The sequence below is a fragment of the Homo sapiens genome, chromosome 7 (genome assembly GCF_000001405.40).
Source record: "Homo sapiens chromosome 7, GRCh38.p14 Primary Assembly".
Taxonomy (NCBI): domain Eukaryota; kingdom Metazoa; phylum Chordata; class Mammalia; order Primates; family Hominidae; genus Homo; species Homo sapiens.
In genome coordinates, this window is record NC_000007.14 from 30,446,807 (window position 1) to 30,468,483 (window position 21,677).

Sequence of the window (21,677 nt, forward strand, 5' to 3'; positions counted from 1 at the left end):
CTCACAGATCACACAGAGGTATCTTTACTTGACCAACATGGCCCTGGGACAAGTGGAAGGCTTTAGGATGAAAGCTCTTTACTGTGACATTTAATCTTTGAACAACAGAAGGGGGTGATCAAGAGAATATACTAAGGAACCTGGTGCCTACCCCACTTACTTAAGATGCGTGAGGCCTTTGCATTCATCCAGGATTTTGGTGACGTACCTGGCTCCGACATCGGTGATCTGGTTGTTGTATAAACTTCAAGAGAAAGCACAGCCATGAGACTTTCTGGCTCCTGATGTCATTTTAATAGCCCCTGTTTTTTGAAGCATATGGTGTCTACTGATTTCCAAAGTCTGGGTTGAAAGGGGAACACACAGGCACCAGAGTTTAGGGCTCTGAGGTCTCACAGCTCAGGTTCAAAACCAGCTCCACTACTTTCCCCAGCTTTATGGCCTGAGACAAGTCACGTTACCTCTCTGTGCCTCAGTTTCTCCATCTGTAATACAGAGGTAATGATGATAGTCCCCTTGCAGGGTGGTTATGAGGATCTTAGGACATAACGCAAAGCCCTGGTGCATGAGTGCTCGGTGACTGGCAGGTGATGGGTATTTACAACTAAGATTACATTCAGCGTCTTGAGAAGAAAAGATTCTGAATATTAAAACTTCTCGATGTCTACCTTTCAGCCATCTCACCGCTCAATGCCAATTCAATAGTACAGCAGATGGAAGTTGAAAGGCAGCTAAGCTCAGGCTTCCAGGGTTCCACAGCCACACAGAGCCCTGGAGCCGAGTGTGGCCCGGGGTCGTTTGCGTCCATGTCCTCATTAACATCGAAGGCCACTGAGGCCCCAAGAAACTGAACAACTGCTCCAGCTTGCAGAGCCACCAGTTGTGTGGGGCTGGCCCGCAATCCCTTCTCTCAGACTCCAAAACCTCAAAGGCTCTGAATGCCCAAAGTTTCTCACAATTCTTTTGGCAACTGATGTGGAGCTACTTATAGTCTTTCTTACCACACTTGGTTTGACTGTTTCATACATTCTGCGGGAGAAATATGAAAGTGTTTGAAAATGGGGCACTGCCTTAGACCCCTGCGGCCACGTCATGCCATAGCATGCACTCAGAATCCCCATTCGGGTCTTGCCCCAAAGGCTCTGGATGAGGGATTATGGACCCAAAATAGTCCAGACTAATATGTAAACAGGATTCTAGCATTTATTAAATATATCCCCTTATATTCTCGTTGCATCCCCCAATAACCAGTTGTAAGCCTACTTGCCTATACTGGGATCCCAGTTTTACAGGTGAGGAGGCTGAGGCTCAGCAAGACTTCATGACTGGCCGAGCCACAAAGAGAACCCAGGACTCTCAACTCCTGGGCCAGCGCTCTTCCCAGCCCTGGGCCATCCGTGCCGATCATCCAGGGACCTATGGGAATGTGAATTCCCTGCAGCTCTGTATTATTACTAGGTAGTTGGCCCAGTGTTCTGGAGAAAGACATACCCCAAATAGGTCACAATTTTGTATTTGGTCAGCTCTTCGCTTAGCACCTTTACCCCACCGTCAGTGATCTGGTTTACGCTGAGTCTGAAATAAAACAGCAAAAAAATTACGAGTCAGGGCAGGCACTCATTATGAAGGACCATTAATCTTACAAAGATCCAGAAGCCTTCAGGCCCTGGAGTTTTCTCAGGTATAGACGCCCCTGGAGAATGGCCACAGCAATCAGCCAAATAGCCCCTTACAAAGCCTGGCCAACGTGGGGCCGCCAGACCCATCCTGCACCAGCCCATGAGCGAGGCTGCAGCACAGCCCCTGGCTCCTCACACGACCGTGAAGGACACAGGGAGGACGTGTGAGGCCAGCCACCTCTGACATCCACCCTTTGCGTGTGACCTATGTGTCAGCCAGACCCTGTACCTGGTTCTCGTATGGTGGAGGGCATGGGTTTGGAAATGTCAGGGGCTGCTTTTAGTGGTTGTGACTGGAGGAGGGAGTGCCCTGTCATCTTGCAGGCAGGGCCAATGATGTTAGGTGTCCTGCAAAATGCTGGACAGGTCTCACAAGAACTGTTATACCCAAAATGCCAACAGCTTCCCCCCATCCAGAAACACATGGGCTAACCCTGATTTGTCACTGGAAAAGGCTGTGAGTCCCACTGTCAAAGGAGACTGCTCATGTCATTCTGTAAAGTGTCAGACAGCAAATATTTTAGGCTCTGTGGGCCATGTGGTCTCTGTCACAGCTACTCAACTGTGTAGTGTGAAGCAGCCAGTAAGTAAATAAATGGGTATGGCTGCGTTCCAATAAAACTTTACTTAGAAACACAAGCCTTGGGCCCAATTAGACCCACAAGCTGACCTTGATAACAAGTAAAAGGCTGAACAATTAAAAGCTTGATTTTTAGGCCACATCAAAATGATCAAGTCAGACACTCTGGACCCTTTCCCTCAGAGTCCCCAGCTTGGTGCTGGGAAATAGTGTGTATGTACATGGCATGGCCAGCCCAAGACAGCACAGGCTGCTAGACATTCCCAATATCTATACTTTCTTAGCAATAGATTCCCCCATCTTTTAGCTGGGCCCATCTCATTAAATTCTGCCCATACCATTAAGTTCTGAAATCTAAGCAGCAATATAATTAGTAATAGCCAAGAAGTGTTCTTAAAAGATTGAGGCATGCTCTCAATCTTTGCCCTTCCTTCTTACTGATAGCTAGAGTGTCGACTAGATGGCTGGAGTTTGAGCAGCCCTCTTGGGCCAAGATGGGAAAGCCGGGTAGTGAGGATGGCAGAACAGGAAGGCAGAAGAGAGCCTGGGCTCCGGAGGGTCATGGAGACTCCATACCAGTCCTGAACTACCTACCTCTAGACTTTTACATGAGAGAAATAAGCTTGTAACTCACCAACATTTGGGGTTTTCGCTCTCAGCTAAAACTAATCCTAACTGATGCAGCCAGAGAACTGAGTGTGCTTCCCGTGGTTACCCATATCCTCTGCTTTCCTACAAGCTGTTTTTTCTTGCACTGGTGTGAAGGAAAGCTTCACCTGGGGACAGCAGGAAGGGCAGGGCCACCACACTGGTGTGGAGTTTCCCATTGAAAAGATGGACAGAGGGGTCGGGTGCGGCGGCTCATGCCTGTAACCCCAACATTTTGGAAGGCCGAGGCGGGCGGATCACCTGAGGTCAGGATTTCAAGACCAGCCTGGCCAACATGGGGAAACCCCGTCCTACTAAAAATACAAAAAACTTAGCCGGACATGGTGGCGTGTGCCTGTAATCCCAGCTACTCAGGAGGCTGGGGCAAGAGAATCGCTTGAACCCAGGAGGCGGAGGTTGCAGTGAGCTGAGATCACGCCACTGCACTCCAGCCTGGGCAACAGAGCGGGACTCCATTTGGGGGAGAAAAAAAAAAGATGGACAGAGGGTGGCACTGAGTGTGAGACTGCCTGGGGCTACAGAGGGAGAGTCACTGGCTGAGAGTACAGAGAACAGACTCCAGGTTTTCCAATTCCCAGGCTAGGGCAGCCTTCGACCCCCTGCACCCCATGTCCCCATGCAATTATTTACACTCTGACACTGGTGTGACAGGCACTGGGAGTCAGTTCCAAATCCCTACTGCTTTTTAGAAATGCATGAGTCAAGTAATGGCAAATTTAACCCCCTGTAGAGATTTACAAGGTTTATTTTACATAGGAAATGCTAATAGAAGAAAACAGACTGGGCTCTGTTTCCCGTAAACTATGGAACAGGAAAACAACCACGAGTCAGCATTTTAACTGAGGTCTCTAGCAGTGTGAAGGGCTGCTAGCGTTGATCACAGAAAGTCACCAGTGCCAACTGGCACAAGGTCTGCTTTCTCTGCAGTAATAAAAGCTCCCATATTCCAGAAACTTTTTGAGGGCTATCTCGGAGCCTTACATTAATCTTAAAAGGAAGGTTCTTTATGCATTCTGGCACTGCTATGTCTGAGCTGTGTGACCTAAAGCAAGCTATTAACTTCTCTGTGCCTCTACTTCCTTATCTGCCAAAATAGAGACAATAACAGTACCTAAGTTACAGGGTTGTAAAGAGCATTCCATTAGGTAATATTTGTAATGCACTTCACCCATTCTCAACTAACATTGGTCCCTGTGGCCATAATTGATAGGATTATGAGCATCTTCTTTTTCCAGATGAGGGCGTGGAGGCTCTGAGAGTTAAGCACTTTGTTCAAGGGCACCCAGCTGTGGCTGATCCAGGTCCACCTGCCTCGAAGCTTTGCACCTTGACCTCTGCCCTGCTAAGAAAGAAAAGGTCTGGACATTCCAAGGGCCATGGTCATGAGTCCTGGGGGATCCTGGTCCATGATGCCATTCCCGATGCCCTCCGAGCCTGGCCCGCCCGGCCCACCTGTTGCTCCCCTTGCCTGGCAGCCTCACCTGAGAACAGTGAGGCGGCTGAAGCAGGGCTGCAGCTCCCGCACGCCGTAGTCGTTGAGATTGTTGTTGTCTAGGTCTAGGGCCAGCCGCTTGGGGAAGTGATGCAGGACGAAGGAGAGGGCGCTGCAGTCGGCCGAGCAGGCGTTGCAGTAGGTCAGCTTGAGGTAGTTGGCGCAGATGCCCCTGGCCGCCAGCTGCCCCACCTTCTGGCTCTGTGTCTCGTAGATGCAGCGCAGCATCCAGATGAACGTGGGCATGGCCTGCACCTGGTTGAAGCTTTCGACCTGAACGCGGGGCAGGCTCTTCAGGTAGCCCCGCAGGCTGGAAAACAGGTGTGCCCACAGGGCCTTGCGCTTTCTCCTCAGGGCTGCCGCGGGCACCAGATGCCGCAGGAGTTTCTGTTTGGCTTTGGACAACAGCCCGCACAGGAAGAGGTTGGTGAACTGGAAGTGATCCTTGTTCTTGAAGAGGTCTTCCCGCGCCGGACCACTGCCCTGCAGGCACTGGAACGGGAGGAAGGGAGGATAGCAGGACGTGGTCGCTGCCCCCGCAGGGGGCATCCACTCCTGGAAGAACCTGAGCAGCTCCTGAGTGCCCACCCTGTCGTCCAGCACGAGGAAGAAGGCTGTAAAGAAGGCCTGGAGGGTGAGGTGGAAAAACTCATAGGACTGCTGGTCACCCCCGGGGCCCAGCTCCGGCAAAGCCCGCAGGAAGCCCAGCTGCATGTCTCTCTCCTGCAGCCCGGAGGCCTGCACCTCCTCCTGGGTGAAGACAAAGAGGCTCTTCTCCATGCCCCGGTGGGCCACCTGCCCCAGCGAGCACAGAGTGTCCCGGCCGGCGTGGAGGGTCTCCACTGGGCTGCGTGTGTTCCGCTGCACCAGGCTGCTGGGCTGCATCCTGTTCAGATGGACCTCAGTGACCAGGAGGAAGACATCTGTCAGGGTCATCGTGCAGTCGGGCAGCTGTGGTGAGCCTTCAAAGGCAGCACGGAAGTGCTGGAAGCACCGGAAGATGATCCAGCAGAAGAGGGGCACAGAGCACAGGCTGCAGAGGTTGGGGTTGGCCTCCAGCTGGCTCAGCAGGCGGTCCTGCAGGGCCCGCTCGGGGAACATCCTCCTGGCATAGGCGCGCAGGTGGCTGGGGGAGAAGCCCCGGAGAAGCACCTTCTTCCGCAGGAACTGGCGCGGGACCTCGATGCCTGTGCGGGCTGTGAGCAGCTTGCTAGCCCCCTTGAGCAGCTTCCCACTGAGCAGGTTGGCCAGCAAGACCAGGGGGTGGGCAGGCTCCCAGGGGCAGGAGCTGTCAGGCACGCGGCTCAGGTCCAAGTCCGAGTGCAGCTCGTCCAGGCCATCGAAGGTGAAGAGGGCCACGTGGGGGAAGCGCAGCAGGAAGGCAAACACCTCCTCGGGGTCCCGCTCTGGGTAGCAGTAGTGCTTGAAGAGCAGGTCCTGCAGACACAGCCTGTCACTTTCCTTGAAGCAGCTGAACATGCGGCAGCGAAAGTGGAAGAAGAATTTGACCCCTGCGTCTAGCCGGCCCGTGGCCCAGAGGCTCTGCAGCCGCTGTAGCAGCATGGACTTGCCCACCCCAGCATCACCCAGGATGAAGATGGTCTCACCCTGCTCATTGAGGATGCCGGTGGTGTGGTCCAGGAGGCAGGCCAGGCTGTTCAGGCTGCCCAGGCTCTCATTGCTGAAGCCAACCAGCTCCATGATGGTGTCCATGTAGATCTCCTCCAGCAGCAGCTCCTCCTTCTGGGCATAGCACAGCACGAACTTGGAGTCACGGCCCAGATGGTGTCGCAGCTGCTGGGTATACCTGCTCACTGGAGGGAGGGGGTGGCAGGGCACAGCAGCAGGGTGAGGAGAGAGGCAGAAACAGCATCAAACAGGGAGGTCTCAAAGAGGAGAGGCGAGTGCATAAACAAAATTCACAACCTGGGCCCTGAGGCCAGCGCAGCCACTCCTCAGATGCAGGACCTGGGGAGCGTCACAGAGCCAGCATTCCTGACCCTGAGGGCCCCAGGCTTTGATCTCTCTGCTTGACCTCAGATTTGCCAGAAAGAAGGTGACAAACTTCAGCTGGGATCAGTGTCTGAGACAGGCCACCCTTATTCCTCCGCACAGTGTCATCACTGAACTGCAGCTAAACACTGAAGCCCCTCGCACTCGAGGGCCAGGCCAGATGGCCACGCTGGCCCTCCTCCACCAACACTGCTTTTTTGTTGTTAGAGATAGGGTCCTGCTCTGTCACTCAGGCTAGGGTGCAGTGACCCAATCATGCAGTCTCAAACTCCCAGGCTCAAGCAATCCTCCCACCTCAGCCTCCCAAGTAGCTGGGACACAGGCATATGCCACCAAGCCCAACTAATTTTTGTGTTTTTTTGTAGAGACGGGGTCTCGCCATGTTGCCCAGGCTGGTCTCAAATTCCTGGGTTCAAGCGATCTGCCCACCTCGGCCTCCCAAAGTGTTAGGGAGTGTTATATATTTGTCAGTAATTTTTAGTAAGTTTACAAAGTTGTGCAAACCTCACCACAGTCCAGGTCTAGAACATCTCTACCATCTTCCCAGAGTTTTCTGGAGCCTATTTGTAGCCAATCCCTGGGCCGTAGGCAACTACTGATTTGCTTTGTCTATAGATTTACCTTTTCTGGACATTTCATATAAACAGAATCATACAATATGTAGTCTTTTGTGTGAGACTGCTTGTAGAGTGAATTACACTGTAAAAGCTAGTAAAGTAGCTGGCTAACGGAACCAACAGAGAAGTCTTTCGAAAGAATGATTCCTCATGGGAATACTTTCTTTTTTTTTCATGGGGGAAGGAAACAAGGGGAGACAGGAAGGAGCAGACAGAGTCAGAAGCTAGCAGTGGCTGGCAGGCACCTGCAGGGGCTGTGGAAGCTGGAGCCTAGCACTGACACTCTGCCGGCTGGCCTTGTTTCCCCTAAGCACACACCTGTCTTGTGCTTCTGTTTCCAACAACATATTGGATTCTTTAAAAGGCAGGACTTAGGTCCTTGGTGCTGGTATGTTACCAACAGCTGTCTCAAAGTGGAGAGTTCAAAAGCAGGGAAAGAAGACTCCTGCCCCAGAGCAGATCCTGGCCCTAATGATATGTTCTCACATGCCTTGGACTGCCGCTGTCCTGACACATTTTTGAGATTGCTGACTGGTGGTCTCTTCCAGCTGACTTGAAGCTCCCTGAGGGCAGGAACCCTGTCTGTGTCTGCTCACCACTGTCTCCCTGACATCCAGCACAGTGTAGGGTCTTGGCATGTGGTGGATACAGCAAAAAATACTTATTGAACTAATCAGTTAACTGATGGGGTCTTCCATTAGTTTGGAAATAAGGACTGGCACTCAACGGTGACAGAATACTTTGCCTAGAATCAAACCTGGCAAGGCTTTTTAATTTTTTTCTTTCCTTTTTTAGAGACAGGGTCTCACTCTGTCACCCAGGCTGGAGTGTAGGGGCACAATCATAGCTCGCTGCAGCCTTAGACTCTGGGGCTCAAGCAGTCCTCTTGCCTCAGCCTCCTGAGTAGCTGGAACTACAGGTGTGTGCTACCATGTCCAGCTAAAGATTTTTTTAAAAGAAAAAAAAATACAACCTTGAATTTGTGCAACCATTAAAATGTCTACATATGTCAGAATAGGAAGAAAGCAAGGGGTCAGAACACAGGCCATTCCCATACTTCCAAAGGCCCCTCTATAAACCAGACCATCGAGGTGTGGGCAGTTCAATCGCAGCCACCTGGGCTGCACTTGGGAGACAGGATTCAGCTGTTCCTTTCTAAAATCAAAATAGCACCTGGGCCTGCTTCCTGAGGTGGCACTCAGGGCTGGCCCAGCCATTACCAAACCCCCCAGGGCCCTGCTTGCACTGGTGCCTGCGGTCTTGCTGGGGCTGACTCCTACCTGGGTCAGTGTTGACCACGACTTTGCTCTGAGTGAGCAGGGAAGGGGAGAAGCCGATCTCCAGCAGCCAAGGCCTGAGGTCCACGTAGGCATCTGCGAGTTGCTGGAGCAAGTAGAGGAAGAACTCGGACACCTCCTCGCCCTTGCTCTGTACCAGGTCCAGAATTTTGCGGACCTGGAGGTGACACAAGCATGAGGGCACGGGCTGGCATGAGGGGCATCCTCCTACCATAAGGACCCTCAGGCAGGCTCAGGGCAGGGCTCTGAGTTCTTAGTACAGCCGGTAGCTATGCCATCCCCCCAGCTGCTGTGACAGTCAACATATTGGAGCCCGAAAATCTGTGAAATGACCTCCTGAGCAAGAAATAAAACCACTCAGCTCTAAGAAACCAGGAGGCTTCCATGAGCCTAAAAATAAAAAGGACAGACAAATAGCCATGGACTTCTCTACCTCTTTTTTTTTTTTTTCTTTTTTGAGACAGAGTCTTGCTCTGTCACCCAGGCTGGAGGGCTGGAGTGCAATGGCACAATCTTGGCTCACTGCAACCTCCACCTCCCAGGTTCAAGGAATTCTCTTTCCTCAGCCTCCCAAGTGGCTGGGATTACAGGCACCCACCACCATGCCCGACTAATTTTTGTGTTTTTATTAGAGACGGGTTTTCCCCATGTTGGCCAGGCTGGTCTCAAACTCCTGACCTTAGGTGATCTGCCTGCCTCGGCCTCCCAAAGTGCTGGGATTACAGGCGTGAGCCACGGTGCCCAGCCTTCTCCTTGTCCCTCTTAACCTGACACAACTGCTGTGCAGGAATGAGAGTGGAGAGGTGAGAACCACCCCTTGGGCATAATGAGGTAGGCACCTGGGCCACACAGTAGGAGGGCGATAGGCCATATATTAAAAACGGCTTTTTTTCTTGTTAAAAATGTGGGAAAACAAATCAAGAGAAGAGAACAAAGCACACGAGTGTGCTACTGCTTCCCCCAGAAACCGTCCTGGTCTCTTCTGAGTCCCAGCGGGGTCATGTCATAAATGAGTTGTGTCATTCCTCTAACCAAGAAGGAATTTGTGGTCTCCATTTTATTTTTCAGGAGATAACGCAAAGCGTAAGTGGAAGTAAGGGCTGTTAAGGCGTCCCACAGTGGAGCGGGGAAGATTCTTCACTGTGGACCCACCGTGGGATGTCATCATTCCTGACCCTGAGTCGGTTCCCCTCCGAGTCTCACCCAGCAACAAGCAGCCCTCCAGCCTTCAGAGGCACTGAATGAACATCGCTGCTGGGGATGCTCTTATGCTTATGTTCTTTTTCCCTCCTAATTTAAAGGGGATCTAAAAATGAAGTGTCTGGGAACCAATACACACAGCAATGAGAACTGAGATGTCAGGGTTTGCTCCAGACACAAACACAGAAGTAAAATACCTGACTGTGCAACCTGCTAACCCAGGCATTTGTGTGCTATTAGTACCCCAAAATGCAGCCCTGCCCGCTGGACTAAACTCCCACGCTCTTCACTCAGATCAGCAGGGAGAGGCCTCTTCTAGCTCCCGGGGTCCACACAATGCCATGCCCGTCCCTGTCCCCGGGGCACCTTGTCAGGCTGGGTGGGGCAGGCACACACAATCTCCGCATCTTCGGCCGAGAAGTAGTCATTCTTCAGCAAGTTGTCCACCAGACACTGAGTATTGCGGATGTGAGTGACCAGAAGTTCCCGATTGCTTTTCAGTAATTGAATGTGGGGGTGAGACTCTGATGGGATTATTTCCATCTCACTGTGGCCCTGCTCTTCCATAGTTAAAGTAGCAAGCGGCTACTTTTCCCAAATTCATCTTCAGCTGCGTGTGTCCTCTCAGCAGAAGGGCAATCAGGATTCAGGCCGCGCCCTCCAGGGCCCCTGCTACTCTGCGCAGCCCCTGAAGAGATCAATGACATCATCAGCAAAGCAAAAGCTACAGAAAGAGCTCACCCCACCTCCCACTGGTTGTGGGGTTTCTCTACCTAGAGCAGGAAGGAACCATGCTTAAGACCTTTATCTGGCCAGGCAAGTTGGCTCATGACTGTAATCCCAGCGCTTTGGGAGGCTGAGATGGGTAGATAGCTTGAAGTAAGGCCAGTAGTTTGAGACCAACCTGTGCAACATAGTGAGACACCCATCTCTACAAAAATAAAAAAAATTAGCCAGGCATGGTGGCGCACCTGTAGTCCCAGCTATTGGGGAGGCTAAGGCAGGAGGATCACATGAGCACAAGAGTTCAAGGCTGCAGTGAACGATGATCACACCACTGCACTCCAGCCTGGGTGACAGAGCAAGGCCCTGTCTCTAAAAAAACTTTTATCTTAGATGCATTAAAGAAAAAAAATCATAATTTAATTGTTTGCACTTGAGGGTTACATCTCTAGGGTAGGTGACCAGAGATAGCCAACTCTTTTTTATTTTTAAATCAAAACATCTTTATTATTACTATAAAGCAAAAGTGTGCTTTGATCCTATACTGGGATAGAGATGGAAAGGTGTTTATTTTACATAATAAGGTTAACAGGGCTTGGAGGTTTCTGCATTCCCCAAGCAGGGAACAGGCCCAGAACTGAGAAAGAAAGACCTGTGGGGTTTGGTGGGAGACGGTCTCAGCACAAAATAGCCTGAGAAGAGAGACAGCAGCATGAAGTCTCCTGTGGTAGCCAGAGGCAAGGAACCTGCGGACGGTGATGTCTCAGTCACTGTTGCCCATTTTGGGTTGTGCTATAACCTCTTCCCCCGTGTCCTTGACCTTCAGCAAAGTCTGTTATACACAAGCACCCTGGGAAAGGAGGGAAAAGCAATAGCCCATGTGGCATGAAGTGGGACAGAGGGAGGGCAGAGGGGCAGGAGGAAGAGGGAGAGCCGGCACAGAGTTCCTGGGATTAGATTCCCAAGAGAGGTATCTCTCTGGAAACCCTTGAAAACCTGGTACAAGTGCTGAGTTTCTTGTCTGGGTAGGAACAGGGACCCAGGCTATTTTATTTGGGCATTAAAAAACATTTGGGTTCATCTGAGTTATCCCAAAATTGCACTCACTACCTTCCTTGTAACAATAACAGCAAAAAATAATAATTTTTTAAAAAAATCCCACAGAAGATCCTTCAGCCTCTTCTTGTCCAGGAATACTTGCGTGTGTAAAATGATCTTGGAAGTGGAAAGGCCTGGAATTGGCCACTTTGTCGTTTGTCTAGGCAGGAAAACTCATGCATTTCAGAGAGAGAGTAAAAAAAAGGTTTTTTTGTAGTTCAAAAAAAAGCTCATAGATCTTTTAACACTATCCACATCATTAATATGTTTCACAAGCCACATCTGTTAACATTCAGGTCCAGTGGTTCTCAATTTTTTTTCCACCAAGTGGCACATGAGTCTCCTGCTCTTTGACATGCTTCTATGTTTTCTTTTTTTAACCTATCAAATGCCAGACCCCACACAATAGCTTTCTTTTTAGAATCCAAATGATAGAGCAGGAAAGAGTAAAATTTAAAATTATCAGCAACAGAAGGGCAAGAGATCCTCACCAAAAAAATTTAAAGGTATGAAAATATTAGTTATTGTTCCAATAAAAGTTATTAAATACTAATCCAGCCTTTTCTTTTTTTTTTTTTTTTGACAGAGTCCCACTGTGTGGCTCAGGCTGGAGTGCAGTGGCACAATCTCGGCTCACTGCAACATCTGCCTCCTGAGCTCAAGCAATTCTCCTGCATCAGCCACCCGAGTAGCTAGAACTACAGGCGGGTGCCACCATGCCCAGCTAATTTTTGTATTTTTAGTAGAGACAGGGTTTCACCACGTTGGCCAAGCTGGTCTTGAACTCCTGACCTCAAGTGATCTGCCCACCTCGGCCTCCCAAAGTGCTTGGATTACAGGTGTGAGCCACCACACCCGGCTATTTTCCATGGCAGTCAATTCTATGACCCACTTTAGGATCCTTAGCTTTAGAAAATCGGTTCATTTAAAGCATACCAGCTGACAATATTAAATTTAAATTAGCAGTTAATAATACCTTTTTAAGTTTCTGGCATCATTCTTTGAAGTTAGAATATTTTAAAACAACATTGTTTAAATCTTCAATTTCCAATTTATTTCTGGAATCTGCAAAATCAAAGAAAGACTTAAAAAAATTATTGTGGCACATGGTGAATGAATGAATAAAATTGGCAAGAGAATAATTTTAAAATCTAGTACTCCCAGGTATCAGACTACTCTCTGTACCTTCTTCTTTTAGGACAGTGTTTTCTAAATGTTCAACGTCCCCACCATAGTCACTTTTTTGTTGTTCTTGCCATAATTGAGTCACACCTGTCCTTTATTTGCTTAACCTTTTGCTTTCAATTGAGTTTTGAAAACTCTAATAATTTTAAAGGAATGTAATGTCACCATTAGAAACAGAAAAAAAATATCCTTTGCAATACATAGAAAGTAACACAAAAATTAATTCACCAGAAATACCACAATGTTACTGTATTCCAGCTAGTCCTGCTGCCTGGAAAGGCTCCAGGGTTGGGGCCTGTTTTCTCTCGGAAGCATTTGAGAGATGTTAAAGACACAGTAGCACAGAATTGAGACTTTCTCTTTAAGATCATCACAAGGCTGAGAGAAAACTGGAAAGAAGTCACTTCTCACTTTGTGATTCAGCATTTTGCAATGCCATGCTCCATTCTTTAGAAAGCTGGGAAGGGGTGTTGCACAGCTTCCTTCATCCCTCCTTTCCCGACCTTTGCCCGCCTACCACGAGGGGCCCGTTTTACTCACTGCTTCTGTCTCTTCCAAGCCTGCGATTCCCATAAAAACAGCAACTTGTCTTCCCAGATGTTTTCTGTAATCGCCGCCACAATCTCCACCTCTTGCCATCAAAGGCAGAAACCGAAGGAAAGTCTCCTGACTTACAATCACCTAAATAAAGCAATATATTATATGACAGCCATCTGGCAAGGAGGCTGCTTTATAATGTCCAGAGCCCTGGCTGAAGATTTAATCAGGTGTGCAGAGTTAGCTCAATTCAGCAAGAACTTAACAAGGTATGGATGTTGGAAGGGAAAGCAGAGAAACTGAACTCTGCCTTGGTAAACAGAATCTAAGGGTAGACCAAAACCATACCATGGGAGACTGGAGATCAATTCGAAGTTCATGGGCACTTATTACCAGAAACACCAGACAGCCAGAGATCTGCTGGCCCTGGGGGGCAATCCTTTCCTTTCTTTGCTTGGTAAAGGGTGGGTCCAGTTGATGAAGACGGTCTGGTCCTCTCTTCCAGGCAAAGAGAGGACGGAGATTGGGCTGGGGCCAGGTATCTGGGAGCTGGGTCTGCTCTCCTGGGTGGAGCTTTCCCAGGCCAGTGGTGCAGACCAATGGGGACTGAAGTTGGAGATCCTGGTAAGACAGCTCCAGGGATACCCAAAGGAAAAAACCAAGCTAATGGAGGCAGCCAGAAAACAGGACACACCGCAGAACAAAAGATGGATCACCAAGTGGAAAAATGAAGCAGAGGAGATCGGAGGAGGGTGAGTCCACCACCAAAAGCCATCTCCTGAGGCAAAGGCAGGTGGGGGTAGAGCCTGTGGGCAGTGAGGGAGCCCCGAAGGGAGCTGGGGGTTGCACAGGCATTTCCTCTCAACCGCTCTTCTTTCTAGCTTTCTGCCCTCAGAGAGGGTTAGTTTCCAGGGTAAGGGAATCCCAGGGGCAATTCACCACTCCGGGCTCCTCACAGAAACCAGTGCCCAAGTCCCCTCCTGCAATGTGATCTTCCAAACTAAAGAAAAGGTCTGCAGAGCCTCCAGGAGAAGATTCAGGGAAGCTGCTCTGGTGAAAAGGAAGCAGGGATTGCAGGATGGCGGATCTTCAAAGGGAAAAAGGAGACCATAGAGCAGCTCTGTTGAATTGAAATATGACACAGCTTTCCTAGTAATTTAAAACTTTCTAATAGCCACACTAATAAAAGTAAAAATGGACAGGTGAAATTAATTTCAATGATATATTTTAATTCTAATACACTCAAAATATTTCAGTATGTCATCCATACAAAATTTATTTATTATTATTTTTTGAGATGAAGTCTCACTCACTCTGTCGCCCAGGCTGGAGTGCGGTGGCGCAATCTCGGCTCACTGCAGCCTCCGCCTCCCAGGTTCAAGCAATTCTCCTGCCTCCGCCTCCTAAGTAGCTGGGATTACAGGTGCACACCCCCATGCCTGGCTACTTTTTGTATTTTTAGTAGAGACAGGGTTTCATCATATTGCCCAGGCTGGTCTTGAACTCCTGGCCTCAAGTGATCCTCCCACCTCAGCCTCCCAAAGTGCTGGGATTACAGGTGTGAGCCACTGCACCCAGCCCATCAACAAAAAATTTATTAATGAGATAGTTTACATTCTTTTTCTTCATACTATGGCTTGGAAACCTGGCATGTGTTTTAATCGCACATCTCAGTTTGGATCAACCACATTTCCAGTGCTCAAGAGCCACATGCGGCCAGGGGCTACTCAAGTGGACAGTGCCACTCCAGGGCAATCACTAAAAGCTAGGGTGTTGAGACATCAGAGTTCCTGCCTGCTGCCCTTCCATTTGAAATACTGATGCCAGGAATGATCTTTGTTGTTGTTGTTGTTGTTGTTGAGACGGAGTCTCGCTCTGTCACCCAGGCGGGAGTGCAGTGGCACAATCTTGGCCCACTGCAAGCTCCGCCTCCCGGGTTCACGCCATTCTCCTGCCTCAGCCTCCCAAGTAGCTGGGACTACAGGCACCTGCCACCATGCCCAGCTAATTTTTTGTATTTTTAGTAGGGACGCGGTTTCACCGTGTTAGCCAGGATGGTCTTGATCTCCTGACCTCGTGATCCACCCACCTCGGCCTCCCAAAGTGCTGGGATTACAGGTGTGAGCCACCGTGCCTGGCCAGGAATGATCTTAATTGGCTTTTCAGATCAGTTTCATCGGCAACTCAGTGAGACAGAGGTTAAAGACGTGAGGTCACTGAAAATTCTGCAAACTCAGGAAGAAAATACACACTGGACCTACTGGTTTATACTCAATGTAAAATTCTCTTCACTGCTGCATACAATTTTGCAGCTTTGCATCCTTGCAAAGATAGAGAGTAAGATACAAAAATGCTGTTGATGTTTGGTGAGTCAGGACTCTCCTATACCACTGGTGGAAATGTAAATCTGTGGAAGTCTCTGGAAAGTCCTTTGACACAATATGTGTCAACAGACTCTGAAAACTTTCTATTTAGTAACTTCCCCTTCTAGAAACCCGCCTTTTGAAAAGAATCAGGGGTTCTGATGGGTTTTTTTTTTTTTTTTGCTGTTTTTTCTTTTTAAACAAGGGACTTCCAGTCCTGGCTATAATAGAATAACTTGTAGCTCACACAGAGGACAACTGCTGGTGAATGGATTGACAAAGTATAGCATATTCATACAGTAGAACACAATTCAACAATAAATGCCAATGAAACAAGAATCCATCATGAATGAGTGTCACAGATACTACACTGAGTGAGAGAAGCCAGACTCAAAAGAGTACTTAGGGCTGGGTGCAGTGGCTCACGCTTGTAATCCTAGCACTTTGGGAGGCCAAGGCAGGTGGATCACTTGAGGCCAGGAGTTCGAGACCAGCCTGGCCAACATTGTGAAACCCTGTCTCCACGAAAAATACAAAAATTAGCAGGGCATCGTGGTGCACACCTGTAATCCCAGCTACTAGGGAGGCTGAGGCAGGAGAATTGGTTGAATCCGGGAGGCGGAGGTTGCAGCGAGCCAAGATCGTACCATTGCACTCCAGCCTGGGTGACAGAGTGAGACTCCATCTCAAAAAAAAAAAAAAAAAGATTTCATGCATATGATTCTGAAAATCTGATCTAGAAATCAGATCAATGGTTTCCTGAGGCAGGGGGCAGATGGGAGTGGGGGAGAAATTGACTGCAAAGAGGAATAAGGAAAATTTCTGGGGAGATAGAAATGTTCTGTGTCTTGATTGCATGCTTGCTCTCTCCCTTGTATACAGTCACATATGTGTGTGTATGTATATATATGAATATACATATAGATACATACGACTTGTCAAAAGTCAGCAACCCATATGCTTGAAATCTGTGAATGTTATTGTATGAAATTACACTTCCATGAAATTGATTTTCTTTTAAGGAAAGGCAAAATAAAGTTTTTCCAGACAAAAACTGAGACTTTGTTGCTACCGTATCTGCACTAAAATGAACACTAAATAGAGTTTTTCAGGTAGAAAAAAAATGATCCCAAGACAAAAACAAAAATGATGAGCAACAGGAAGTGTTCATAAGCTGGGAAACAGAAATGGGTACTAACCGAACTATATTATATTAATATCTCGTGAGGTCACCAGGACCCCTCAGGAAATGATTGACCTAGAAAGGAGTCTCACCTCCTGGAGAGCAACCAGGACTCTGTCCCTGAATCCTGGGGTGGCCCCAGAGAAACCACAGATACACACTCACTCAGTGTCACTTTCACCGCAGGCTTCTTTCTTTCCTTGCACTGTCCCAGGGGACCTTGAGCGGAGATGTGCATTTCTTATAACTGAGATGCTAAGATTAAAAAAAAAAAAACATTTTATAAAGATGTTCTCCACATGTACCTTTCTATGTTTTAATAACTTTTTCTGTAAGTATAAAACAATACCTGCTCACTGTAGAAAACTTGGGAAATGCAAAAAAAAAAATTAGAGGAATAAATTAAGTTCCCTATTATCCACATGCAATAACCACTATTCTCATTTTGGAGCACTTCCTTTCAGCTTTTCTCTGCATGCATTTGCGCCCACACTGACTTTTTGCATGTTTGGCATTACACCATGTTTTTGTTGTTCTCTTACCGTTATCTTGTGTTTCTTTGTAACTGCTAAGGCCCTCTTTGGAGCTGCAGAAGCTGGCTTCTGGATGACTTGGCTTCTAGAAAGCAGAATGTTTTGCTTTCCCTGGTTTTTCTCTTATAAAGAAGGGTAAGAACTCACCTGCCACTCTGCTGCTTTAAAGCTCTGCATCTGAGAAATTCCACGTGCCAAAGGGAGGCTCAAAGATAATGGCAAATGGTCTCCCTTTCCTCGGCCCGGCCATGCCTGCCTGAACTGCTAAAGCAAACCTGGACACCTTGCCCAGCAGCCTCTGCCAGCTGCGAGGCACATGACAGTGCTCTACCATCAGCGTGACCCGTGGGATAGCTGCAAGGGGGTGGGCAGGGGCAGAGAGTGGTGGGACAACTCCATGAGGTTGCAGCTGTTCATTCCTTCTACAGAGATCCACTGAGCACTTCCTCATGTCCGGCCCTGCAACGTGCAAGGGCCCCAGCAGGGCCTAGTCTGATAATAGCTAACACCAAGTGTTGTACTAGGGCATCAGCATGGATGTTAAGGCTTTATACACATGGTGAGAGGCAGGACAACATAAGGGTGAAATCTGTGGTGTCTGGGATCTCTAGAGACAGCAGTGTTCAAATTCTGACTCATGAGCAAATTAGAGGGAAGTTCCTGCTAAATGGACCATGTTTGCTGGTGATTTTAGGCTGTGGGGAACAGGGGCACTCTCAGTTTATGTCTGTTCATGGGACTTTATTATAAGATCACTGATTATAAGGACCATCACTTGTTAGCAAGTTAGCCAGCCTTTCTGTGCCGTGATTGCCTCAAGGTAAGAGTTCCACCTCAAAATGTTGCTGTAAGGATTAAGTGAGTTAATATGCACAAAATGCCTAGGCCAGGGCTGGCACTCAGTAATGAGCGAATCATTTACTAATTTCTGTTATCTCAATCCTTGCAACAACCCTAGGTGCCAGGGGTCATTGTTACCGCCAATTTACACATGAGGAAACTGAGGCACACAGAGGTCAAGTAGCTCCCTGCCCTCACAGAGTTTACAACTGGGCAGGACAGACAGACACAGAACAAGGAATCACAAGTATGGTGAATGTGTGGAAGCAGAAATGAGCAGAGAGAGACAGGGGGGTGCCGTGGCTCTCAAGGGCTTCCTTGGGCTCCAGCCAGCATGATCACAGACGTGTCTGCTCCCCTGCAGCCCTCTGTAATGGCAGGTGACAGGGAGACCCAGTTAGAGCTCCTCTCTCAGGGAGTTTGAATTTGAGACATTTAGAGAGATGCTGAGTCCCAAAAACCCACAGGAGGTGTGGGTTTGGCTGCCCACAGCTGAGGCCACCAGCCACGGCTTCCCTTATTTTGTGTATCTTTATAATAAACCCCCATGAACATAGCCTCAGTGTGCCCCTGTTCTCTGCAGCCTAAAAAACACTAGCAAACATGATCCATTTAGCAGGAGCTTCATGCTGTGCAGAATCACCCAGCAGAGGTTTCCCTGCTCCATTGTGACTATGAGCGCCTTCCTCCCAGCATGAGCAGACAAGACTAGACTCCATCCCAACTGATGGGGCCAGATTGAGAACAGAAACCTCAAGAAAGTCATTTCCCATCATCAACACTGGCCTCATGATTTCACTCTTTCTTCAGGCACCCAATTGTTGGGAATCATTATTCGCTCTTTTTTTTTTTCATGTTTATATTTCAAAATAAATAACACAGCTTTCCATAAATTGGTGTTGCAACAGTAGCAGCTAAGATTCCTAACAGATCTAAGCCCTGTTATAAAACATTCTTTAGCAATGTAGCAGATGCTATCTTAGAGTTACAACCCAGCGTTTTTCAACAGTGAGCTCTGTGTAGTCAGGCCATTCTGTAAGTTTTTCTACTGTGATACTTGCTATATAGGTTGGTAACAAATACAAGCATAAGCAAAACCAAGGCCAGCTTTGCTGGCACCCAGGTCATATGGAACCTGGCCCAGTGCCATGCCATCTGCCTCTGCTCCTGTCCTGACCCTCCCTCCTCAAGCTCTGACCACTTCTTGAAGTGAGTTCCCAAACAGCTCTGCTCTCTGCAACCTTGGCGGCCACAGGAAAAGGCCAGTGATTTTATGAACACAGAAAGGATTGGCTTCTAGGATATAACTTTATGGGTCACAGGAGAGTTTTCAAAGACTTTCCCACCCCTTCCTTGAAAACCAACACAGTGGTAGAAGTATTCAGTTCATCAAACAGTTCAGGTTCTTCTCCTAGACACCTGGTAGGATTACACTTCCCTACCCCTTTGAAGTTACAGGCTTTAACTCATGAAACATGAGCAGAAACAGAATGTGTTGCTTTGGGTAGGAGGCTTTTAGCCATCACTGCTTAATTTATCAATGTGCAATTTTTTTTTTTTTGCTTCTGGCACTATGATTAGCACAAGATGGGGGCAGCTGCATCAGCTCAGGCCCACAAATAACCACAATGAGTAGCTCTTGCCAACTCGCAAAGGACATAAGATATGAGGAAGAAATCAACCTTGATTGTTTGATAGCCAGGCATGGTGGTGCACGCCTACTGTCCTAATGACTCAGGAGGCCGAGGCAGGAGGATCACTTGAGCCCAGGAGTTCAGAGTTCGAGGCTACAGTGAGCTATGATCACACCACTGTACTCCAGCCTGGGTGACAAGTGAGACCCCTGTTTCTTAAAAAATAAACAAAACAAAAAACCTTCGTTGTCTGAGCCCACTACATTAAAGGATCCCTCTTAGCACAGAAAAGTCACTACAACCTTTTTCAGATACTATAACTATTTATGGAATTAAGATTTAAGATAAAATATAACACCATTCCCTGTCTACCTCAGACTCAGCAGTAATCTATATAGGGAGATACTGCTTTACTAGGAAGAAAAATAGGCAGGACATGCACCTTCTTTATTTGTCCTTGGGTTACATCATTCACCTTCTCCCAACTTGTGTTGGGTCCTGCCACCTCACTCCACCCCTCACTTGGCTCCACAGAACCACATCCATCATTTCTGTTAGAATTACTGGGTTGGTATCCCTAAAAGCCAAGCCGACCAGTGATGAAAAAGAACACGGTGGAGCTGCATGTACTGACATAGAAAGAGCCTTAAGACATCCTGTCACTTGAAAAATGTAAGTTGCAGAAAGAAATATAGAGTATAATAACATTTATATGGCTTGCCCACATCCCCTGCCCTCCAAATACACAAAGCACTCCACGTTCTCTATAGGCATACGCCCGTGAATGTAAATGCAAAGAAAACCACCTGTGAGAAGACACACGGTGTGAGAATGAAAATTACTTCTGGAAAGGGAGAGGACACCAGGAGTAGGGTAGGACTTTTATTCGTAATGTTTTTTTTTTTATAAGAAGGCTATACACTTGCATGATTGAAATATTTTAGGGCCTTTTCCTCATTAGGGCATCTCAGGACATCTTGAGGCAGGCCAGCACAACATTCTCAGCGACTGCCTTGTTTTGAGGAACTATGACTTTCAACTCAAAGGGCCCACCTGCCCTAGAGAGAAAATGCTTGGTCTTCATTAAACTAAACGATGGTTCATTAAGACCAAACAAACTCAGATGAGATGTTAAGACTTTCTGTGCACCTGTAAATCAATAAAAAGCTCTTCCTGTTTTGTGAAAGTATCACAATAAATCTGATGGGATTGTGGGTGGGAACAGTTTTTTTTGTTGTTGTTGTTATTTTTGTTTGTTTGTTTGTTTTGAGACAGAGTTTCACTCTTGTCACCCAGGCTGGAGTGCGATGGCGTGATCTTGGCTCACTGCAACCTCCGCCTCATAGGTTCAAGTGATTCTCCTGCCTCAGCCTCCTGAGTAGCTGGGATTACAGGCACCTGCCACCACACCCGGCTAATTTTTGTATTTTTAGTAGAGACGGGGTTTCACCACGTTGGCCAGGCTGGTCTTGAACTCCTGACCTCAGGTGATCCACCTGCCTCGACCTCCCAAAGTGCTAGGATTACAGGAGTGAGCCACCGCACCCGGCCTATATTTTGTTTTAAATTTAGTAGAAGGCCATCAACTTAGGGTATTACCATTAAGCCTAGTTAGAAATAAGGAATATAAAGTGAAAAATAATCAGTCCCCACAAAAATAGTACAGAGCAAAAGTCAACAATACTGGCTTTCAAGTGGATTTTTAAAATCCCAGAGCCACAAGAAATACCATATTGAAGAAATGCTCAATGGTTGCCAAACGTTTCATTTCCTTTGTCTTGTATTTCCTCTTTTTTTCATAAAACACATACCTCTGAACACTTCAAAACATTAGCAGCTCAACTGCCTTCTGGAACATTCTGACACCGAGTGATGTTTTAATTTTGATTTCTCAGCAGCAAATGGATGATGTCAAAGGGGCCTCACATTTTCCTAACCAGTATCAGCTCCCCAACCCAAATGGTTATTATTACCAAGGAAACTAGTTCAGATTCTTTTTCCCTTTCTGTTAAAAACACATCCTATCACCCAAG

The 21,677-nt window shown here is 47.8% G+C and overlaps 1 protein-coding gene across 35 annotated transcripts in view, besides 1 other annotated feature; it reads right to left on the reverse strand.

Annotated features, from left to right (window-relative positions):
* The window catches only part of NOD1 (nucleotide binding oligomerization domain containing 1), a 54,258-nt gene that overhangs the window by 22,280 nt on the left and 10,301 nt on the right, over positions 1–21,677 (reverse strand). For 8 of the 35 annotated variants that reach the window (XR_007059981.1, XM_011515085.2, XM_011515084.2 and 5 more), the window contains 8 exons: positions 16,803–16,892; positions 13,095–13,235; positions 12,346–12,434; positions 9,915–10,236; positions 8,331–8,505; positions 4,410–6,234; positions 1,492–1,575; positions 161–244 (listed from right to left, as the gene is read on the reverse strand). Coding sequence is in view for 31 of the 35 variants with exons in the window: in XM_011515085.2 (XP_011513387.1) it covers positions 161–244; positions 1,492–1,575; positions 4,410–6,234; positions 8,331–8,505; positions 9,915–10,115 (2,369 nt within the window). In the remaining 4 variants the exon portion in view is untranslated. Of the gene's footprint in view, positions 1–160; positions 486–1,485; positions 1,576–4,111; positions 4,271–4,409; positions 6,235–8,330; positions 10,237–12,345; positions 12,435–13,094; positions 13,236–16,729; positions 16,893–21,677 lie in introns of those variants that run through there. The other 27 variants (XM_047419765.1, NM_001354849.2, NM_006092.4 and 24 more) reach the window with 16 other exon arrangements.
* Positions 2,720–3,220: an enhancer, noted in NCBI's record as "H3K4me1 hESC enhancer chr7:30489142-30489642 (GRCh37/hg19 assembly coordinates)". NCBI's record gives its function as "activates a minimal SCP1, AML or CMV promoter by ChIP-STARR-seq in naive H9 embryonic stem cells {active_cell/tissue: H9 hESC(naive)}" and the evidence as "EXISTENCE:reporter gene assay evidence [ECO:0000049][PMID:30033119]".